The sequence below is a fragment of the Homo sapiens genome, chromosome 12 (genome assembly GCF_000001405.40).
Source record: "Homo sapiens chromosome 12, GRCh38.p14 Primary Assembly".
NCBI classification, from domain to species: domain Eukaryota; kingdom Metazoa; phylum Chordata; class Mammalia; order Primates; family Hominidae; genus Homo; species Homo sapiens.
The window spans coordinates 122,148,595-122,171,319 of NC_000012.12; the positions used below are offsets into that span (position 1 = coordinate 122,148,595).

At 48.1% G+C, this 22,725-nt stretch overlaps 1 protein-coding gene across 1 annotated transcript in view, besides 4 other annotated features; it reads left to right on the forward strand.

Moving 5' to 3' along the window:
* Positions 17,446-17,495: an enhancer, noted in NCBI's record as "active region_7206". NCBI's record gives its function as "activates an Ori minimal core promoter by ATAC-STARR-seq in GM12878 lymphoblastoid cells {active_cell/tissue: GM12878}" and the evidence as "EXISTENCE:reporter gene assay evidence [ECO:0000049][PMID:35858748]".
* Positions 17,920-18,522: an enhancer, noted in NCBI's record as "H3K4me1 hESC enhancer chr12:122651061-122651663 (GRCh37/hg19 assembly coordinates)". NCBI's record gives its function as "activates a minimal SCP1, AML or CMV promoter by ChIP-STARR-seq in primed H9 embryonic stem cells {active_cell/tissue: H9 hESC(primed)}" and the evidence as "EXISTENCE:reporter gene assay evidence [ECO:0000049][PMID:30033119]".
* Positions 18,176-18,225: an enhancer, noted in NCBI's record as "active region_7207". NCBI's record gives its function as "activates an Ori minimal core promoter by ATAC-STARR-seq in GM12878 lymphoblastoid cells {active_cell/tissue: GM12878}" and the evidence as "EXISTENCE:reporter gene assay evidence [ECO:0000049][PMID:35858748]".
* Positions 18,276-18,365: an enhancer, noted in NCBI's record as "active region_7208". NCBI's record gives its function as "activates an Ori minimal core promoter by ATAC-STARR-seq in GM12878 lymphoblastoid cells {active_cell/tissue: GM12878}" and the evidence as "EXISTENCE:reporter gene assay evidence [ECO:0000049][PMID:35858748]".
* LRRC43 (leucine rich repeat containing 43) overlaps positions 19,125-22,725 on the forward strand; it is a 35,753-nt gene continuing 32,152 nt past the window's right edge. The window contains exon 1 of the mRNA NM_152759.5: positions 19,125-19,188. The gene's annotated coding sequence lies outside the window, so the exon portion shown is untranslated. The remainder of the gene's footprint in view (positions 19,189-22,725) is intronic.

The window sequence follows — 22,725 nt, forward strand, 5'->3', positions numbered from 1 at the left end:
GGCGTGGTTAATTCCATTACAGACAAACCGGAGTCATGTCCGAGGTAGCGAGGCTACATGGGTCAGAGAAGCCTAACCGGGCTTTTCCCTCTTGTAAGTGGCCTCACCATCCACCACTCACCCAAGCCCAAATCCAGAGAATTATCCCTGATGTCCTTCCTCTCCCCTCCCAATACCAAGTCCTGCCAAGTTTCTCTTCTCAGTTTCTTCTAAATACACATCCGCTTCTCTCCATCCCTGCTGCCATCACCCCCATCCAAGTCACGTCATTGCCCAAGCAGCTCAAGTAGTGGCCTCATCCATCCTCCACATCATAGCACGAGCTTTAAAAAGCCCAAGTCTAGCCAGGTCACTCTTCTCTTCAGTCCTTCCAGCGCTTTCCAGATAAAGGCCCAGGCCCTCAGGGAAGCCCCTCCCCTGCTTTCTTTGCTGTTTTTTTCGTTTTCTGAACACACCAGGTTTGGTTTGGTTTTGCTGTTTACAGTTTTCCCAAGGTCTGTCTCCTCTGTCCCAGCCCTTCCCCATCTCCACTCTTTTCCTTCAGGTCTTTCCTTAAACATCAGATCCTCAGAAACCAGCCTTCATATTCCCTCCCCACCACACAGGTGCACGCACACATGGAGTCGGGCCTCGGAGCGGCTCTCAGGACACCGATCATGTTGAATTACTCAGTTTCTCTTCCCCACCAGATTCTGAGCCCACCAGGACGAGGGCCTGGTGCCGTACCTCGCACAGACCTGGCAGGAAGCAGATATCGAGACAGCCTGTGGATGAACTCTCCTGGAGCCCATCCTGCTCCAGCTGCCTCTGCCCACACCCTGGGACTGGTGGGGCAGGGGAGGAAAGGGGGATCAGAGGGGGTAGGTTGAGCGACAGTAGGCGTTGACTCTGAAGACTGCGTAGGTAATTTCAAAACTTCAACTTGAGTAATTGTAGCTATAAGACTAATCTCTAAATGGTGTGAAAAGCATTTCATCTTGATGTGGACTCGATTCTGTAGAACATGGTTTCCCTTATTTTCGGTAAAGATCTGAAATTAGATTTGTATAGGGTGGTGTGATTGAACTTATCCTGAAGTTTAATGCATGTACTTTCTACCTTTTTAGTTCAGAAAATCTTCAGTACACAGAAGTGGAGAATAGTATAATGAGCCCCTTCATCATAATGAATGACCACTATCCAGTTTAACAATGATCAACTCAGGGCCAATTTTGTTTTTTTCTAAGACCTCACGCCCACCTCCATTATTTTGAAGCACATTCCAGACACCATATGGATTTCATCTGTTAAGTATGCCTTTTTTTTTTCTTTTTGAGACAGGGTCTCACTCTGTTGCCCAGGCTGGAGTGCAATGGTGCAGTCTCAGCTCACTGTAACCTCTGCCTTCCTGGGTTCAAGCAATTCTCGTACCCCCTCCTCCCGAGTAGCTGGGACTACAGGTGCCTGCCACCAGGCTGGGCTAATTTTTATATTTTTAGTAGAGACAGAATTTCACCATGTTGGCCAGGCTGATCTTGAACTCCTGGCCTCAAGTGATCCACCCCCACCTCGGCCTTCCAAAGTGCTGGGATTACAGGCATGAGCCACGGCACCCGGCCGTAAGTATGCTTTTTAATACCATTTCCAGAATTGCATATATACCTGCAAAGTTGGTCATTTAAAAGTTCCCAAAGGCTTTGTGAAAAGCAACAAAATCACAGTTAATGAGAAATCTGGGGAATGGGGCATTCTGATTGATCAGATTTTCTGTTTCACTGAAAATCGTTAGCTAGAAAACCCTTATTGTGTAGAGGGGGGAAAAGCTTTTTAAGATAAGAGTCTACTTTCCTGCCTTAATGGGCTTGGTACAGTGAGCAGTCTAATCTCTTCATCTAGTCTGACTGATTTTCTCTCCTGGGGGAAGTACTGAACAGAGCTGGTTGGTTGCATTACAATTTTGCATTGGGGGTGGAGCCTGAATGATCAGGGGTTAGCGGTCCTCCCCAACTTGCCCCCCACACCTGTCCCATAGCCCTGACTCCAACGTGTTGGTGTCTCCCAAGTTCCCAGCGCCACCCATCAGTGGACTATAATGATGCTGTGTCAACTCTCCTGTATGTACTGAGATCTGTGTTTCTCTAGTTTCTGTCCCTCCTTTCCCTAATACTTGCTGTGTATTTACCGACTCTTCCTTTTTATTCTCTGACCAAGATGTGGGTACTGGCTAGGTGCGGCGGCTCACGCCTATAATCCCAGCACTTTGGGAGGCCAAGGCGGGCGGACCACTTGAGGTCAGGAGTTTGAGACCAGCCTGGCCAACATGGTGAAACCCCATCTCTACAAAAAATACAAAAAATTAGCCGGGTGTGGTGGCGGGCACCTGTAGTCCCAGCTACTCAGGAAGCTGAGGCAGGAGAATCGCTTGAACCCGGGAAGCGGAGGTTGCAGTGACCCGAGATTGAGCCACTGCATTCCAGCCTGGGCGACAGAGCGAGACTCCATCTCAAAAAAAAAAAAAAAAAAAAAAACCACCCACAAATTAGCCAGGCATGGTGACGCACATTTAATAATCCCAGCTACTTGGGAGGCTGGGGTGGGAGGATCGCTTGAACACAGGAGGCAGAGGTTGCAATGAGCCAAGATTGTGCCATTGCACTCCAGCCTGGGCAACAGAGCGAGATTCCATTTAAAAAAAAAAAAAAAGGGCCGGGCACCGTGGCTCCACCTATAATCTCAGCACTTTGGGAGGCTGAGGCGGGTGGATCACCTGAGGTCAGGAGTTCGAGACCAGACTGGCCAACATGGCGAAAGCTCATCTCTACTAAAAATACAAAAAATTGCTGGGCACGGTGGCTCACGCCTGTAATCCCAGCACTTTGAGAGGCCGAGGTGGGTGGCTCACCTGAGGTCAGGAGTTCAAGACCAGCTTGACCAACATGGAGAAACCCCATCTCTACTAAAAATACAAAATTTGCCAGGGTGGTGGTGCATGCCTGTAATCCCAGCTACTTGGGAGGCTGAGGCAGGAGAATCGCTTGAACCCGGGAGACGGAGGTTGCAGTGAGCCAAGATCACGCCATTGCACTCTAGCCTGGGCAAAAGGTGTGAAACTCCAACTCAAAAAAAAAAAAAAAAAAAAAAAGTAGCTGAGCATGGTGGCAGGTGCCTGTAATCCCAGCTACTTAGGGTGCTGAGGCAGCAGAATTGCTTGAAACTAGAGGCAGAGCTCGCAGTGAGCCAAGATCATGCCATTGCACTCCAGTCTGGGTGTCAGAGCGAGACTCTGCCTCAAAAAAAAAAACCAAATGTGTGTACTGAAGGTTGTATTTTAATGAGACTCAGAGAATACAACAGTGACTTTATTGCAAATACAATAAAATCTTTGTTGATACCTGTGATAGGTTGTGGTATTTGGCTTCTGAGCCAGGACTGAGCTGGATGAGCAGAGATGGACCAGCAAAGGGGTTGGGGCCAGGGCGAGGAGGCAGAAGCGACCTCCCATGCAGAGCCCTTTAGGGAAGGGCAAACTTCACAGAAACAGTGGCCAAATCTCACATCTGCAGAGGTTTTGTCTTTTCCTGGACATTCCCTTTGCTGCCCCCTGGGGCTTTCTCTTGTCAGTTATCTCTTCTGTCCCTTGCATTTTTCTCCTTTTTCATTGACTCATTCCTCTCTATTCACAAGTTTTCTCTTTCTCAAGTCCCTCTACCTCTAACTAACCTTACTTTCCATCTCTGTGCCCAAAACTTGCTCATCTGCAAACACTCTGCATCCTGATAAATGGCATTGACGTCTCCCCAAATGTTCCAGCCAGAAACTCAGACTTCACCCTAGCCTCTTCCTTTCCCTCTCTTCCCACGTTCAGCCTATTAGCAAGTCTCGCCAATAACACCTCCAAAATACAGACGGCCCTGACTTAGGATTCTTTTTTTTTTTTTGAGACAGAGTCTCACTCTGTAGCCCAGGCTGTAGTGCAGTGGCGTTATCTTAGCTCACTGCAACCTCCACCTCCTGGGTTCAAGCGATTCTCCTGCCTCAGCCTTCCTAGTAGCTGGGACTACAGGTGTACAGGTGCCCACCTCCATGCCCGGCTAAATTTTGTATTTTTAGTAGAGATGGGGTTTCACCATATTGGCCAGACTGGTCTTGAATTCCTGACCTCAAATGATCCACCCGCCTTGGCCTCCCAAAGTCCTAGGATTACAGGCGTGAGCCACCACACCCGGCGATTTAGGATTTTTTGACTTTAGGATGGTGTAAAAGCAATACGCACTCAGTAGAAACTGTACTTAAGATGTTGAATTTTGATCTTCTTCCAGGCTAGTGACGTGCCGTATGATCTCTTCGTGGTGCTGGGCAGTGGCAGTGAGCTGAATGAAGGCAGACAGCCAACACTCCTGCATCCTGGGCTGCCAGGCACTTTTGCCCAACTGTAGGCTGCTGTGAGTGTTCCGAGCCCTTTTAAGGCAGGCTGGGCTGAGCTATGATGTTCAGGAGGTTAGGTGTATTAAATGCATTTTTTACTTAACATTTTCAGCTTACAGTGGGTTTATTGGGACGTGACCCCATTGTAAGTCCATGAGCATCTGTAATCACAGACCCAGCCACCTCTCCCCATTCCCACTGCCATGACAATAACCCTCTTGCCTGGACAATTTGAATATTCATGTTGTTGTTGTTGTTGATGTTGTTTTGAGACACAGTTTCACTTTGTCACCCAGGCTGCAGTGCAGTGGCGCAATCTTGGCTCACAGCAACCTCCACCTCCCGAGTTCAAGCGATTCTCATGCCTCACCCTCCTGAGTATCTGGGATTACAGGTCTACGCCACCGCGCCTGGCTAATTTTTGTATTATTAGTAGAGATGGGGTTTTGCCATGTTGGCCAGGCTGGTCTTGAACTCCTGACGTCAAGTGATAAGCCCACTTTGGCCTCCCAAAGTGCTAGGATTACAGAAGTCGGCCACCCCGCCTGGCCCATGTTTTGCCTCTTGCTGCTTTCAGTCAATTCTCTATTCAGCTGGAATGGTGTTTTTAAAAGATGCTGCTTCAACTTCCAGGGGCTTCCCATTACATTTAGAATGAAATCCAAAGTCATCATTGTGAAGTGCTATTAGTCCCACGAGATTTGGGTCCTGAGTGACTGCCTGGGTGACAGCTGTCCTGTGCCTAGAAGTCTTCTTCTATGAAGTGTGGATAATAATCACACCTCGAATTTGCTGATTTTGTAGTCAGCACGTATAAAGGCAGCCGCTTTTCTTCCTCTTTTTCTTTTTTTTTTTGAATGGAGTCTCACTCTGTCGCCAGGCTGGAGTCTAGTGGCATGATCTCAGCTCACTGCAACCCCCACCTCCCAGGTTCAAGTGATTCTCCTGCCTCAGCCTCCCAAATAGCTGGTATTACAGGTGCACACCACCACACCCAGCTAATTTTTGTATTTTTAGTGGAGACAGGGTTTCACCATGTTGGCCAGGATGGTCTCGATCTCTTGACCTTGATCCCAAAGTGCTGGGATTACAGGTGTAAGCCACCGCGCCTGGCCCAGCAGCAACTTTTTTTTTTTTTTTTTTTTTGAGATGGAGTCTTGCTCTGTCGCCCAGGCTGGAGTGCAGTGACACGATCGCGGATCACTGCAAGCTCTGCCTCCCTAGTTCACGCGATTCTCTTGCCTCAGCCTCCCAAGTAGCTGGGATTACAGGCGCATGCCACCATGCCTGGCTAATTTTTTGTATTTTATTGGTAGAGACTGGCTTTCACTGTGCTGGCCAGGCTGGTCTCCAACTCCTGACCTCGTGATCTGCCCGCCTCGGCCTTCCAAAGTGCTGGGATTACAGGCATGAGCCACCATGCCCGGCTGCAACTTTCCTTATTCTTCATCTCTGTTTCCCCATTCCTGACAAAATGTCTCAGTTTATATCAAGGCCACCACGAAGACTGTCCAGCTCAGTCAGTAACACCCTGGCAGCATTTCTGAGTTTTCTTTTTTCACGGCAGCCTGCCTGTCCCTTCCCATTTGTCACATTTTGGGTGGTGAATTCTTTCTCCAAAATGTTGCTAACTGTGGTCCCATCCCATGCTGTGCACACAGCTGGTATAAGTCAGAATTCAGTTATCTCCTAACAGAACTCTCCCAGCGCTGATCAAAAAAGATCAGGAAACATCATCCTGCTTTCTAACACCCATCCCTTTTTCTTTTTTCTTTTTTTGTAGAGATGAGGTCTTCCTATGTTCCTCAGGCTGGTCTCAAACTCCTGAGCTCAATCAGCCCACCCACCTCAGCCTCTAAAAGCACTGGGATTACAGGTGTGAACCACCACACCTGGCCTTTCCCCATTCCTTTTTCTTTTCTTTTCTTTTCTTTTTTTTCTTTTTCTTTTTTTTTTCTTTTTGAGACGGAGTCTTGCTCTGTTGCCCAGGCTAGAGTGCAGTGGCACGATCTCGGCTCACTGCAACCTCCGTCTCCCGGGTTCAAGCTATTTCTGGCTAATTTTTGTATTTTTTTAGTAGACAGGGTTTCACCATGTTGACCAGGCTGGTCCCAAACTCCTGACCTCAAGTGATCCACCCTCCTCAGCCTCCCAAAGTGCTAGGATTACAGGTGGGAGCCACCGCGCCTGGCTTCTTCTCTTTTTTTTTGAGACGGAGTTTCACTCTTGTTGCTCAGGCTGGAGTGCAGTGGCGCAATCTCGACTCACTGCAACCTCTACCTCTAGGGTTCCAGTGATTCTCCTGCCTCAGCCTCCTGGGTAGCTGGGATTACAGGCACGAGCTACTATGCCCGTTTAATTATTTTTTTTTTTTTGTATTTTTAGTGGAGACAGGGTTTCACCATGTTGGCCAGGTTGGTCTCGAACTCCTGACCTCAGGTGATCCACCTGCCTCGGCCCCCCAAAGTGCTAGGATTACAGGCATAAGCCACCATGTCCAGCTCCCATTCCTGTTTCAAAACTCTGCCTCCCTCCTCTCCTGCCCTCAGCAGGAGCACTTCAGTTTATAAGTCTTCTAGGAGAAGTCCCCCCACCCCCGTCCATTGCTTGCATTCAGTGCAACGGTAACTTCAATCCCATTGCTTCCCGATTACGATTAGGATTACGCAGCCCAGGTCCCAGCAAGAGGAGCTCTCTGTGGCTACTCAACCGCACCCCACACTTCTTCCCTCTGTGCTGCCGTGCATTCCCCTCCCTGGAAGGCCCAGCGCTCTCTCTCCGCTGTGGCCTGGCCCAGCCCTCCCTGCTGTGCCCCCGGAACCACCGCCAGTGCTCCATTTCTGCTGCTGATATCAAGTGCGGTGTAGCTGTCAGTACCACATTTTATCTCTCCTTTTTCAGGACAAGGACCACATCTCATTTTATCTGTCATCTATCATAGCACACAGCTTCTATGTCCCAGGCACTTGGTAATCTCGCAATGTAAATCACATCTGCCGCTGCCTGCCAGTGTGAGCCCTAGGAGGTAGATGCTTTATAATACCCATGTTAGAGATAAGGAAATTGAGGCTTACAGGGTTATATCAGATATGCCCCAGGCGTGAGCCACTGCACCCGGCCTTATGTTATCCCATTTTCAACTTCAAAAAACTCTCCCTATAGAGATTGTTGTCCTCATTTTACACATGAGAAAACAGGTTTACCTTTCAACATAAGAACATTTAACAAACCAGGAGTAGATGGAGTAGAACTTCCCCAGCCTGATGAAGAGCATCTACAAAAAGTCCACAGCTAACATCATGTTTAATGTGAGAGACTGATGCTTGCCCCTAAGATCAGGAACAAGAAGTGGATATCTGCTCCTTCCCCGTCAATATTGTCAATATCAGTATTGTCCTGGAGGTTCTGGTTAGGGCAATTGGGCAAAACAGAGAAATATAAGACTTGGCCAGGCGCAGTGGCTCACGCCTATAATCCTAGCACTTTGGGAGGCCGAGGTGGGCAGATCATTTGAGCCCAGGAGTTCTAGACCAGACTGGGCAATAGTGAGACCTCGTCTCTACAAAAAATAAACAAAATTAGCTGGGTGTGGTGGTGCATGCCTGTTGTCCCAGCTACTTGGGAGGCTGAGGCAGGAGAATCTATTGAACCCAGAGGCAGAGATTACAGTGAGTCAAGATCGCGCCACTGCACTCCAGCCTGGGCAACGAGCGAAACTCCATCTCAAAAACAAACAAACAAACAAACAAAACACAAAAAAGAGGCCGGGCATAGTGGCTCACACCTGTAATCCCAACACTTTGGGACACTAAGGCCGGTGGATCACCTGAGGTCGGGAGTTCGAGACCAGTCTGGCCAACATGGTGAAACCCTATCTCTACAAAAAAAAAAAAAAAGGTAACTGAGTGTGGCGATGGGCATCTGTAATCCCAGCTACTCAGAAGGCTGAGGCAGGAGAATCGCTTGAACCAGGGAGGCAGAGGTTGCAGTGAGCTGAGATCGCTCCATTACACTCCAGCCTGAGTGACAAGAGCTAAACTCTGTCTCAAAAAAAAAAAAAAGAAGAAGAAAGAAAAAGAAATACAAGGCTTTCAGATTGGAAAGGAAGAAAAACCATTTGCAGATGATACGATGGTATGCGTAGAAAGTCCTAAAGGATGCACACAAGCCCTTTAGAGCGAGTGAATGGGATCAGCAAGGTTGCAGGACATGGGATCAGTATACAACAATCAGCTGTCTTTCTTTTTTTTTTTTTTGAGACGGAGTTTCGCTCTTGTCGCCCAGGCTGGAGTGCAATGGCGCACTCTCGGCTCACCGCAATCTCCGCCTCCCAGGTTCAAGCAATTCTTCTGCCTCAGCCTCCCAAGTAGCTGGGACTACAGGCATGTACCACCACGCCAGGCTAATTTTGTATTTTTAGTAGAGACAGGGTTTCTCCATGTTGAGGCTGGTCTTGAACTCCCGACCTCAGGTAATCCACCCGCCTTGGCCTCCCAAAGTGCTGGGACTACAGGTGTGAGCCACCGCGCCCGGCCAATCAGCTGTCTTTCTGTACACTGGCAAGAAATAGCCCAAAAATGAAATTAAGAAAACAATTTCATTTTCAATAGCATCAACGAAGACAAAATACTTAGGAATAAATTTAACCAAGGAGGTGCACTCAGTATCATACTGAAAGTTATACAACAGTGTTGAAGAACATTATTCAACCATACAAAGGAATGAAATACTGTTATGTACTACAAAGTGGAAGACCCTCAAAACCATTATGCTGAGTGAGAGGAGGCAGACACAGAAGGCCACATGTTGTGTGGTCCTATACAAATGAAATATCCAGGGCCAGGCGTGGTAGCTCACGCCTGTAATCCCAGCACTTTGGGAGGCCGAGGTAGGTGGATTGCTTGAGCCCAGGAGTTTGAGACCAGCCTGGGCAACTTGGCGAAACCCTGTCTCTACAAAAAAGTACAAAAATTAGCTACAAAAAAGTACAAAAATTGTAGTGGCACACGCCTGTAGTTCCAGCTACTTGGAAGGCTGTGATGGGAGGATCACTTGAGCCTGGGAGGTCAAGGCTAAGATTCAGTGAACCATGATTGCACCACTGCACTCCATCCTGGGTGACAGAGTGAGACCTGTCCCCCGCCCAAAAAAAATTAAAATTAAAATTAAAAAAAGAGAAATTGACCAGGCACGATAGCTCATGCCTGTAATCTCAGCACTTTGGGAGAGTGGATCACCTGAGGTCAGGAGCTTGAGATCAGCCTGGCCAACATAGTGAAACCCCATCTCTACTAAAAATTCAAAAGTTAGCCAAGCGTGGTGGCAGGCACCTGTAATCCCAGCTACTCGAGAGGCTGAGACAGGAGAATCACTTGAACCCAGGAAATGGACGTTGCAGTGAGCTGAGATTGCGCCACTGCACTCCAGCCTGGGCAATGGAGTGAGACTATCTCAAAAAAAAAAAAGTAGGCTGGTTGTGGTGGCTCACGTCTGTAATCCCAGCACTTCGGGAGGCCGAGGCGGGTGGATCACAAGGTCAGGAGATCAAGATCATCCTGGTTAACACGGTGGAACCCCGTCTCTACTAAAAATACAAAAAATTAGCCGGGCGTTGTGGCGGGTGCCTGTAGTCCCAGCTACTTGGGAGGCTGAGGCAGGAGAATGGCGTGAACCCGTGAGGCGGAGCTTGTAGTGAGCTGAGATAGCACCACTGCACTCCAGCCTGGGGTGTGTGATCCAGAGCTGGATTAAAAAAAAAAAAAAGAAAGTAAGAAGTAGTGTTGAAATGTCAGTTAAGGTATAGAGATATTGAAACCCTCATACATGGCTAATGGGAATGTGAAATGGTGCAGCCACCATGGAAAACAGCCAGGCATTTCTTCCAAAAGTTAAAAGTAGAGCTACCATGTGGCCCAGCAATTCCACTCCTGGGTATATACCCAAAATAAATGAAAACAGGGATACTTGCAGGTAAATGTTCGAAGCAGCAGCATTCACAAATGGCCAAATATAGAGACGACCCAAGTGTACTTGAAGTGATGAAAGAATAAACAAAATGTGATCTACCCACACAATGGACTGTTACTCAGCCGTCAGAAGGAATGACGTGCTGACACACGCTGCAACATGGATGAACCTTGAAAAAGGGAAGAAGTCAGACATAAGAGGACAAATACTATATGATTCTCTTCATGGGAAATTGTGGAGTAGGCTGGGCACGGTGGCTCACACTTGTAATCCTAGCACTTCGGGAGGCTAAGATGGGCAGATCACCTGAGGTCAGGCATTTGAGACCAGCTGGCCAACATGCTGAGACCCTGTCTCTACTAAAAATAGAAAAATTAGCCAGGCGTGGAGGTGGGCCCCTGTAATCCTAGCTACTCGGGAGGCTGAGGCAGAAGAGTCGCTTGAACCTGGGAGGCAGAGGTTGCAGTGAGCTAAGATCCCGCCATTGCACACCCCCCTGGGCGACAGAGCAAAACTGTCTCAAAAAAAAAAAAAAAAAATTGTGGAACAGGCAAATCCATCGAGACAGAAAGTAGATTAGTGGTTTCCAGACACTGGGGAGACTGAAAGCAAGTGGGTAGTGACTACTAATGGGGAGATAAGAATGTTCTGGAATTATATAGTGACGATAGGTGCACAACTCTGTGAATACACACACACACACACTGCTAAACTGTATAATTGTTTAATTGTAACTTTTAGAGATGAAGTTGTTTGTCTAAGGTTATGTCACATATAGTAAGTAAAGGACCAGAAACTGAATCCAAGAATAGCTGCTCTTAGCACTAATGCTGTTGGGGGAAAATGTTTCCAGGGCCATTGAATAGGAAATTAATAACGTTGGGATCTTGAAGAGCCTCAGAATTGTCATTCTAAGTATTCCTTCTCACTATAAAGTACTGTCATTTTGGGTAGTGCGTAAAAGGGCTGAGAGAAATAATATTGCATTGGTTTTACTGCAAAATTGGTTCTACAAGGAGTCACGCCAGGGGACTGCTTTGTCCATTCAGCGGGGAGATCCGAAGAGCAGATAAAGAGCTGGGGACAGTGGAGCTGAGCCTGGTGTCAGAGATGGTTGAGAAGAAACACCAATGTCACAAACCCACTGCTACAGTAAGACACCTGGGGGTGCTAAAGTCTTTTCTTACCTTATTACCAACACTTGGAAAAGCCTTCACACCTCTCCATTTCTCACCTTCTCTCCAAGTGCTATTTCTTTTTTAAAACTTGAAATCATGTTTATTTGACTGATTTCTAAAATAATACATACTAACTTTAGAAAATTTGGAAAATACATTAAAATATAAAGAAAATTCTTGGCCAGGCATGGTTGCTCATGCCTGTAATCCCAGCACTTTGGGAGACCGAGGTGGGTGGATCACCTGAGATCAGGAGTTTGAGACCAGCCTGGCCAACAAGGTGAAACCCCATCGCTACTAAAAATACAAAAATTAGCCTGGTGTGGTCGTGGGCACCTGTAATCCCCGCTACTCAGGAGGCTGAAGCAGGAGAATCGCTTGAGCCCAGGAGGCGGAGATTGCAGTGGGCTGAGATCGCACCACTGAGATCAAAAAGAAAAAACAAAAAAAGAAAAATTCTCCCCCTGCCCAAAGATTTTTTTTTTTTTTTGCCAGTCTTGCTTTCTGTCTATATGTAAGATAGGTGGACACACACACACACACAGACACTTTATTTTAAACTTATATTTTAGGTTCAGGGGTACATGTGAAGGTTTGTTACATAGCAACATGGTATGGTTAGGCTTTATGTCCCCACCCAAATCTCATCTGGAATTGTAATCCCCACGTGTCTAGCGAGAAGCCAGGTGGAGGTGATTGGATCACGGGGGCAGTTTTCCCCATGCTGTTCTCGTGATAATGAGTGAGTTCTCTCTGATGGTTTTATAAGGGGGCGCTTCTTCCTTTGCTCACCACTCTCTCTCGCCTGCGGCCATGTAAGAAGTGTCTCTTCCGCTTCTGTCATGGTTGTAAATTTTCTGAGGCCTCCCCAGCCCTGCAAAACTGTGAGTCAATTAAACCTCTTTTCTTTATAAAATAGCAAGTCTCGGATATGCCTTTTTTTTTTTTTTTTTTTTGGAGATGGAGTCTCGCTGTCTCTCCCAGTCTGGACTGCAGTGGCACGATCTCAGCTCACTGCAAGCTCCGCCTCCCGGGTTCACGCCATTCTCCTGCCTCAGCCTCCCGAGTAGCTGGGACTACAGGCGCCCGCCACCACGCCCAGCTAATTTTTTGTATTTTTAGTAGAGATGGGGCTTCACCATGTTAGCCAAGATGGTCTCAATCTCCTGACCTTGTGATCCACCTGCCTCGGCCTCCCAAAGTGCTGGGATTACAGGTGTGAGCCACTGTGCCTGGCCCCAGGTATGTCTTTATAGCAGTATGAAAATGAACTGCCAGGCGTGGTGGCTCATGCCTGTAACCTCAGCACTTTGGGAGGCCAAGGTGGGTGGATCACCTGAGGTCGGGAGTTCAAGACCAGCCTGACCAACATGGAGAAACCCTGTCTCTACTAAAAATATAAAATTAGCCGGGCGTGGCAGCACATGTAATCCCAGCTACTTGGGAGGCTGAGGCAGGAGAATCACTTGAACCCGGGAGGCAGAGGTTGCGGTGAGCTGAGATGGCGCCACTGCACTCCAGCCTGGGTGACAAGAGCGAAACTCTGTCTCAAAAAAAGAAAATGAACAAGTAAACTTGTGTCATGGGGGTTTATTTATACAGATTATTTCATCACTCAGGTATTAAGCCTAGTACCCAACAGTTATCTTCTCTGCCTGTTCCTCTCCCTCTTCCCCCCCACCCTCCTGCCCGCCTCCACCCTCCCCCTCCAGTAAACCCCAGTGTCTGTTGTTTCCTTCTTTGTGGTCATCGGTTCTCATCATCTAGCTCCCACTTATAAGTGAGAACGTGTGGTATTTCGTTTTCTGTTCTTGCGTTAGTTTGCTGAGGATGATGGCCTCCAACTCCATCCGTGTTCCCCCAACAGACATATTTTTTAACTCAATGGGGGATCGTCATAAATATATTTTATAACCTGCTTTTATAAATTAACGTCATACTTGAAGCATTTTACCCTGCCAGTAAACATTCTTTGATAAAATGACTTTGAGCGGCCACTGTTTGTTCATTGCCTTATTTTCAGTCATCGGGGTTGTATAGCAGCCGTGAAAGTGTGCCCCTCAGATTTCCCACTCTGGGAAGTATAATTGACCCAGGGCCCCCAGCTGCTGTGCCCGGAAATCCATCACCCAGCACATGGAGACCCCGCTTCCCGCAGGCTTCTCCCATCTAGAGACAGCATGGCAGGGATGCTGAGGCTGGCTCGTTCCTGGGAGACCCAGGCTTCTCTTAGGATTTTCCCACATTCGTGCTGAAGTCTCCCAGGATGGCACCGTAGGCTGAGACGCTGCCCCCAACCTCCTTTCCTTCCTTCATCCTGTCCTCCAGCAAGAGTCAGACCTGCCTGTGGTGGGACAGCTCCCTGAATCCCCTGCTCCCTCCTCTTTTCCCTCCCAGGCCTGGCTCTGATGAATCTCTTTATTTATTTAGTATTTTTTCAAGACAGAGTCTCACTCTGTCACCCAGGCTGGAGTGCAGTGGCGCCATCTCTGCTCACTGCAACCTCTGCCTCCCAGGTTCAAGCGATTCTCCTGCCTCAGCCTCCCGAGTAGCTGGGATTACAGGTGCCCGCCACCACGCCCGGCTAATTTTTATATTTTTAGTAGAGACGGGGTTTCACCATGTTGGCCAGCCTGGTGTTGAACTCCTGACCTCAGGTGATTCTCCCACTTCCACCTCCCAAAGTGTTGGGATTACAGGCATAAGCCACCACGCCTGGCCTTGATGAATGTCTTGCATGGCAAAGAATCCCATCTTGGTCCCTGCTTCTAGAGGACCTGGACTGACACAGGTCATCTCCACTTCGGTTTGCTTGTTTGGTTTTGGTGTTACCCTCAATGCTATTATGAGCATGTAAGTGTGCATATCCCATCCAAATCTAGGATTATTGCCTTAGGAAATTATGTGAGGCAGGAATTCCAGGAGAGGGTTACTGGGTGGAGACCGAATCCCTGTGTAAGGCTCTGATGCGTGTTTCAGAAGTGGCTGAGTGGGCCTTTCTCACCCTCAGGCTTTCTCACTTGTAAAGCTCTGCTGATGTGAAGGCATAAGAAACCTCCTGTTTATTTGCCTTTCTTGGTTACTTGTGAGGTTGAGCAGTTTCACATTTACTGCCTATTTAATTTCTGGCTTTATATGTAAGCATTTCTTTTTTGTTGTTGTTTTTTGTTTGTTTGTTTGTTTTGTTTTGTTTTGAGATGGAGTCTTGCTCTGTCGTCCAGGCTGGAGTGCAGTGGCGTGATCTCAGCACACTGCAACCTCCACCTCCCAGGTTCAAATGATTCTCATGCCTCAGCCTCCCGAGCAGCTGGGATTACAGGCGTGCACCACCACTCCCGCCCAAGCTTTTCTTTTGTTTTTCTCTCCCTTCTCCTCCTTCTTTTCTCATTTGTCTCTCTTTATCTGATCACCTCTTCTATTTGCTTTGTCTCTTTTTTTTTTTTTTTTTTTTTTTTTTGAGACAGAGTCTCACTCTGTCACCCAGGCTGGAGTGCAATGGTGTGATCTCGGCTCACTGCAGCCTCCACTACCTGGGTTCAAGTGATTCGTTTGCCTCAGCCTCCCAAGTAGCTGGGATTACAGGTACCCGCTGCCATGCCCAGCTAATTTTTGTATTTTTAGTAGAGACGGGGTTTCACCATGTTGGCCAGGATGGTCTTGATCTCCTGACCTCGTGATCCACCCGCCTCGGCCTCCCAAAGTGCTGGGATTACAGGCATGAGCCACTGCGCTCGGCCTTTTTTTAATTTTTGTTTTTTTGAGACAGAGTCCTGCTCAGTCACCCAGGCTGGAGTGTAGTGGCACGATCTCTCCTGACTGCAACCTCCGCCTCCCGGGCTCAAGCCATTCTCCTGCTTCAGCCTCCCAAGTAGCTGGGATTACAGGTGCCTGCCACCATGCCCGGCTAATTTTTGTATTTTTATTAGAGACGGAGTTTCACCATGTTGGCCAGGTTGGTCTTGAACCCCTGACCTTGTGATCCGCCGCCTCGGCCTCCTAAAGTGCTAGGATATTACAGGAGTGAGTCACCATGCCTGACGTTTTTTTTTTTTTTTGAGTCGGGTTTTGCTCAGTCGCCCAGGCTGGAGTGCAATGGCACGATCTCGGCTCACGCAACCTCCACCTCCTGGATTCAAGTGATTCTCCTGCCTCAGCCTCCTGAGTAGCTGGGGTTACAGGTACATACCATCAAGCCTGGCTAATTTTTGTATTTTTAGTAGAGACAGGGTTTCACCATGTTGACCAGGCTGGTCTTGGACTCCTGACCTTGTGATCTGCCCGCCTCGGCCTCCCAAAGTGCTGGGATATTACAGGAGTGAGCCACCGTGCCTGACGTTTTGTTTTTTTGTGTTTTTTTGAGACCGGTTTTGCTCAGTCGCCCAGGCTAGAGTGCAGTGGCATGATCTCGGCTCACTGCAACCTCCACCTCCCGGATTCAAACGATTCTCCCGCCTCAGCCTCCTGAGTAGCTGGGATTACAAGCACCCGCCATCAAGACTGGCTAATTTTTGTATTTTTAGTAGAGACAGGGTTTCACCATGTTGGCCAGGCTGGTCTTGAACTCCTGACAGCAAGTGATCCAACCGCGTTGGCCTTCCAAAGTGCTGGGATTACAGGCGTGAACCACTGTGCCCAGTCCTTTTTGCCTCTTTCTAGGTTTTGGCGGATTATCATCAACATAAATTCTAGTGACTTGAGAGTTTGTGCTAGTTGCGTTCCAGGTAACTTAGGAGTTATCACACTCACCCCTGCGGTGGGTTCTGTCCCATGCTGCGTCTTTCGGGAAAGGCAAATATGAGTTAGATTTTTTCCTCTTGCATATGTTGTGGGAGGTGATCTTGATTTACATACAAATGTCTGCCCCTAATCTCCTTCCCTATCTCCCTTTGACATTTTTCTTGTTTCTGAGAATCTGTGGGGAAAACAGGCATCAAGGCAAACATTTCCATACGGGTAGACCCCCTGCATCAGGCCTCAGGGTCTTGTGCCAAAAACAGCGAGCACCATGAATGGGAGCGCTGCCACAGGCTGCAGCCCAGGTGAACCTTCAAGACACCATGCTACGAGAAAGAAACAGCCACAAAAGACCACATGTTGTCTGATTCCATGTATGTGAAATGGCCAGACAGGCAAACCCATGGAGACGGGGAGTGGCTTAGTGGTTACCAGGGACGGAGGCCAGGGAAGGATGGGAAGCGTCTGCCCATGGGCACGAGGTTTATTTATTTATTTTTGCAGAGATGGGGTCTTGCTGTGTTTCCCAGGCTGGTCTCGAATTCCTGGGCTCAAGCGATCCTCCCACCTCGGACTCCCGAAGTGCTGGGATTACAGATGAGCCACCATTCCCAGCATAGTACAGAGTTTCTTTTGGGGATGATAAAAATGTCCTGGAATTAGATAGTGGTGATGTGGCACAACTGCGAATATCTTTAAAAACATCAAATTGTCGCTGGGTGTGCTGGCTCTTGCCTATAATCCCAGCACTTCAGGAGAGTGAGCTGAGAGGAAGGCATGAGCCCAGGAGTTCAAGACCAACCTGGGCAACATAGTGAGACCTCATCTGTATAAAAAAACAAAACAAACACAAAAGACATCCAATTGTAAACTGTATGTATGTATGTATGTATTTATTTATTGAGACAGTCTCGCTCTGTTGCCCAGGCTGGAGTACAGTGGCATGATCTCAGCTCACTGCAACCTCCATCTCCCAGGTTCAAGCAATTCACCTGCCTCACCCTCCTGAGTAGCTGGGATTATAGGCACAGGCCACCACGCCTGGCTAATTTGTGCATTTGTATTAGAGATGGGGTTTCCCCATGTTGGCCAGGCTGGTCATGAACTCCTGACCTCAAGTGATCCGCCTGCCTCGGCCTCCCAAAGTGCTAGGATTACAGATGTGAGCCACCACACCTGGCCCAATTATACACTTTAAATGGGCTAACTTTACAGTATATAAATTATATGTTTAAAAATGTTTAAAATACTGATTCCAGGCTGGGCGCGGTGGCTCATGCCTATAATCCCAGCCCTTTGGGAGGCTGAGGTGGGTGGATCACGTAAGGTCTGGAGTTTGAGACCAGCCTGGCCAACATGGTGAAACTCCATCTCTACTAAAAATAGAAAAATTAGCTGGTCATGGTGACACGCACCTGTAATTCCAGCTACTCAGGAGGCTGAGGGAGGTGAATTGCTTGAACCTGGGAGCCAGAAGCTGCAGTGAGCCGAGACTGCGCCACTGCATTCCAGCCTGGGTGACAGAGCAAGAGTCTGTTAAAAAAAAGAAAAAAAAAAAAAAAAACCTGATTCCAGGGCCCAGCCAAAACTACTAAATCAGAACCTCTGGGTGTAAGCCTAGGAATCTGCATTTCACCTCCCTCTCAGCAGTACCGGCTGTGTACTTTGTTTAGAAATCACTAAGCATTTCAAGACAGTGATGAGAACAGAGGGTGAAAACAAGCTCAGGGCCCTCTGAGCTCTGGGCCCCATGACTGAGTAGGTCACAGGCTCGTGAAGCTGGCCCTGCAGCCCAGAATGAAGCCTGCATGCTCTACCCAAAGGACGACGGAGCATTTGGTTAGCGGGTTTGCCTCTTCATCCAAGGACCTGGAAGGAGAGGAGAAATTAGCAACTTTAAAGGTTTCCTCTCCCTGTAAGAGCAGTGCGGTGGTTTTAGTGAGAAGAGTGCAGCGGAGTCCCCCGGCCCGTGGCTGAGTCATCTCCAGAACTGCGGGCTTTCAGTGACAGAAGGAGAAAGGCTGAGCCTGCGCTAGATCTGCGGGAGCTCCTTGGTCAATCCATCAATCCAATAGCATTAAATGACTCTTCTGGCAGATTGGATCAGAATGGGAATTCATTAAAGGAGACCAGGTGGTTCGCAGAATCGCTGTGAGCCTGTTGCTCATGGGAACCCGTCTGGGGTGGGGGGCACCAGGCGGCCACTGAGAGCTCAGCCCCTGTTCCTCCAGAGAGGGGATCTTGTTGCAATTGCCACCTCTCCGTGCAACGAAGCACCTGCCACCATCTCCGCTGCTTTGTGTCACCAGCGTCTGATTTGAAGTCTGATTGCATTGCCGCGGTCTCAGGCCCACAACCTAGCTAAGAGGGAGGCTGGGAAGACAAGTGTTGCATTTCAGTTTCTGCAGCAGACAGCAGGTCCCTCTGCCCACCAAACAACCCTTACCCAGAGTGGGCACATGTCAAGCTTTTATTCAACTCGGTGTTGAGGGAATCAGCGTAACACAGCTGATTCAAAGGAGGAGATGAGAGACTAGTATTGGTTTCTCATCTGTCTGTCTGTCTGTTGTCAGTGAAGATAAAGAATGCCAGAATCAAACAGCTCTGTTAGATGCGAAAGTGGTTCATGCCCTACAGTAAATACAACCATAACCTTTGGAGTCATCTTCTCTACTGGGTAGAGATCATTTGCATCTTATCTGTTTTCTCTAAGTTCAAAGACCCTGGGGCCTAATGAATAATATATAATACGTCAAACAAAGTTCCATTCTCTGAGAACAATGCCAAAGTTCCATTCTCCGAGAACAATGCCATCTAATAGAACTTCCTGCGGTAATGGAGATATTCTGTCTGTGCTATCCAATGAGGTCGCCACTAGCCACTGCAGCTGTCGAGCACGCAAGATGTGAGTGACACTGAGAAACTGAATTTTTTTAAAAAGTTTTTTTTTTTTTTGAAATGGAGTCTCACTCTGTTGCCCAGGCTGGAGTGCAGTGGTGCAATCTCCACTCACTGCAACCTCTGCCTCCCGGGTTCAAGCAATTCTCCTGCCTCAGCCTCCCTAGTAGCTGAAACTACAGGTGTGCACCACCACACCTGGCTAATTTTTGTATTTTTTAGTAGAGATGAGGTTTTACCATGTTGGCCAGGCTGGTCTCAACTCCTGACCTCAGGTGATCCACCAGCCTCAGCCTCCCAACGTGCTGGGATTACAGGTATGAGCCAACACACCTGGCAAAAAAAAATGTTTTAAGTAATTAAAAAAAAAATAGAAGTGGGAAGGCCGGGTGTGGTGGCTCACGCCTGTAATCCCAGCACTTTGGGAGGCCAAGGTGGGCGGATCACTCAAGGTCAGGAGTTTGAGACCAGCCTGGCCAACCTGGTGAAACCCCATCTCTACTAAAACTATAAAAATTAGCTGGGCGTGGTGGTGCATGCCTGTAATCCCAGCTACTTGGGAGGCTGAGGCAGGAGAATTGCTAGAACCTGGGACGTGGAGATTGTAATGAGCCGAGATTGCATCATTGCACTCTAACCTGGGCAACAAAGGCAAAACTCTGTCTCAAAAAAAAAAAAAAAGAGGTGGGTTCTCACCATGTTGGGATCTCGCCATGTTGCCCAGGCTGGTCTCGAGCTGATCACTCAAGTGATCCACCCACCTCAGCCTCCTAAAGGGCTGGGATTACAGGGGTGAGCCACAGCACCTGACCTATTTTAAGTAATTTTAGATTTATAGAAAATTTATAGACAGTACAGAGAGTTCCTATATACCCTTCACCCAGCTTCCCCTAAGTGGGAATTTGTTAAGTAACTGTGCACGTTTATAAAAACTAAGCGATTAACACTCATACAATATTAATCACTAAACTACCAACTGTCTGAATTTTCTCCATTTTTTTCACTAATGTCTGTTTTCTGGTCCAAGAGTCAGTCCAAGTTCCCACATTGTGCTTAGTGCTTGTATCTCCTTAGTCTTCAATCTGTGACCATTTCTTAGCCTTTCCTTGTTTTTCATGACCCTGACACTTTTGAAGAGTGCCAGTCAAGGATTTTGTGAATTGACCCTAGGTTGGGCTTGGCAGGTGTTTTCTCCTGATGGGACTGGGATGGTGGTTTTGGAAGATCACAGAGAAGTGAGGGAGGTACCTTCTCATTGTGTCATGTGAGGGGTGCGTGATACCCAAGCGTGGGCTCACTGGCCAGAGGTGGTGTCTGAGATGCATCTCCCCTGCCACCTTACCGTATTCCCTCTTGTGCTCTGTTCTTTAGAAGGGAGTCACCAAGTCCCACCCGCCTTCAAGATGAGGGAAGTTAAGCCCCACCTCCTGGAGGGAGGAATATCGAAGATTTGTGGACATATGTTAAAGCCACCACCATGGTTTGAAGGGAGATTCTTTGAGGCTATGCAGATTTCCTGTTTCTCCTTAAAGTTTCACCTGCTAACTTCAGCATTCTTCTGTGGATCCTGCCTGAGGCAGTTATTACTGTGGTGTTCTAATGATGATTTTCTATTTCCCTCATTCCTTCTATATTTATGATTTATTAATTAGAATTCTAGTTGGGCGCAGTGGCTCATTCCTGTAATTCCAGCACTTTGGGAGGCCGAGACAGGTGGATCACGAGGTCAGGAGATCGAGACCATCCTGGCTAACACGGTGAAACCCCGTCTCTACTAAAAATACAAAAAAATTAGCCGGGCGTGGTGGCGGGCGCCTGTAGTCCCAGCTATTCTGGAGGCTGAGGCAGTGGAATGGCGTGAACCCGGGAGGCAGAGGTTGCAGTGAGCCGAGATCGTGCCACTGCACTCCAGCCTGGGCGACAGAGCGAGACTCCGTCTCAAAAAAAAAAAAAAAAAAAAAAAAGAATTCTATAAGGAACATTTGAACCTTTTCCCTAATTTATTTATCTTGTCAACCATTTATTTTGTTGTTGTTTGTTGTTGTTGTTTTGAAACAAGGTCTCACTCTGTTGCCCAGGCTGGAGTATAGTGACGCCATCTTGGCTCACTGCAACCTCCACCTCCTAGGTTCAAGCAAGTGGTACCTCAGCCTCCCAAGTAGCTGGGATTACAGGCATGCACCACTACACTTGGCCAGTTTTTGTATTTTTTGTGGAGATGGGATTTCGCCATGTTGCCCAGCCTGGTCTCGAGCTCCTGACCTCAAGTGATGTTCCTGCCTCAGCCTCCCAAAGTGCTGGGATTACAGGTGTGAGACACCACGGCTGGCCCAACTATTTGTTTATATCAAAATGAACTTGTGGGTATTTACTTTATTCTTTGAAAGGACATAGGTCATCTTTTTGCCTTATTTCCCAGTTTTAGATAATTTTTCTAATATGTGTAAAGGTGTTCTGATGTAGGACAGTCAAAAAGAGAGATAGAAGTCCACCACACTGGATATTTTCTGGAAAGATCACCAAAACCTTGTCATTGGAAACTAGGATATCTGGGGGCTTAAATGCCTGCTACGGGGCCGGGCACGGTGGCTCACACCTGTAATCCCAGCACTTTGGGAGGCCAAGGCAGGCGGATCACAAGGTCAGGAGATCGAGACCATCCTGGCTAACACGGTGAAACCCCGTCTCTACTAAAAATACAAAAAATTAGCCGGGCGTGGTGGCGGGCGCCTGTAGTCCCAGCTACTTGGGAGGCTGAGGCAGGAGAATCGCTTGAACCTGGGAGGCGGAGCTTGCAGTGAGCCGAGATTGCACCACTGCACTCCAGCCTGGGTGACAGAGTGAGACTCTCCGAAGGAAAAAAAACAAAAAAGCCTGCTAGGGGCTGCAGTAGAAATACCTGTGAGAATAAAAATGAGAAGTCCAAGACTGAAGTGCGTGTCTCAGAGTCCTAACCACATCCCTCCTTACATATGGACTTGTGCAAACCACACCTCTTCGGTCCTCAGTTTCCCCCGAGATAAGATGAATATATAGGTGCTGGTAGACTCAAGATTAGTGGTTCTCAAACTTGAGGGTGTATTAGAATCCCCTGGAGGGCCCCATAAAGCCCAGATTTCTGTCTCCACCCACAGACCTTCCGATTCAGTAGGTCTGGGGTGAGACCCAATGATTGACATTTCTAAAATGTTGCCACGGGCTGCTGCTGCTGCTGCTGGGCCAGGGACCACGTTTTGAGTCCGGGTGATCTCTAAGAAGCCTTAACAGTTGTGGACTTAACATTGATTCAAATGACAAAATCTTTGGACCTGGCTAGGAAGAAGTCCCCTAGGCCCTGAAAACCCAGTGGGGAGTTGTGCAGAGGACACTGTAAGATTGCTGCATGCCGCGCCTGGCATTGACAGCCTGTGAGGCCCAACCACTGCCCGGGGAGGGTCAAAGCCTGAGTAAGGCAGAGAAGCTCAGGCTGGAAACTGGGCTCCACCCCTTAACAGCTGTGTGGCCTTGAGCAAGTGACTGACTGACTTCCTGCCTCAGTTTCCCT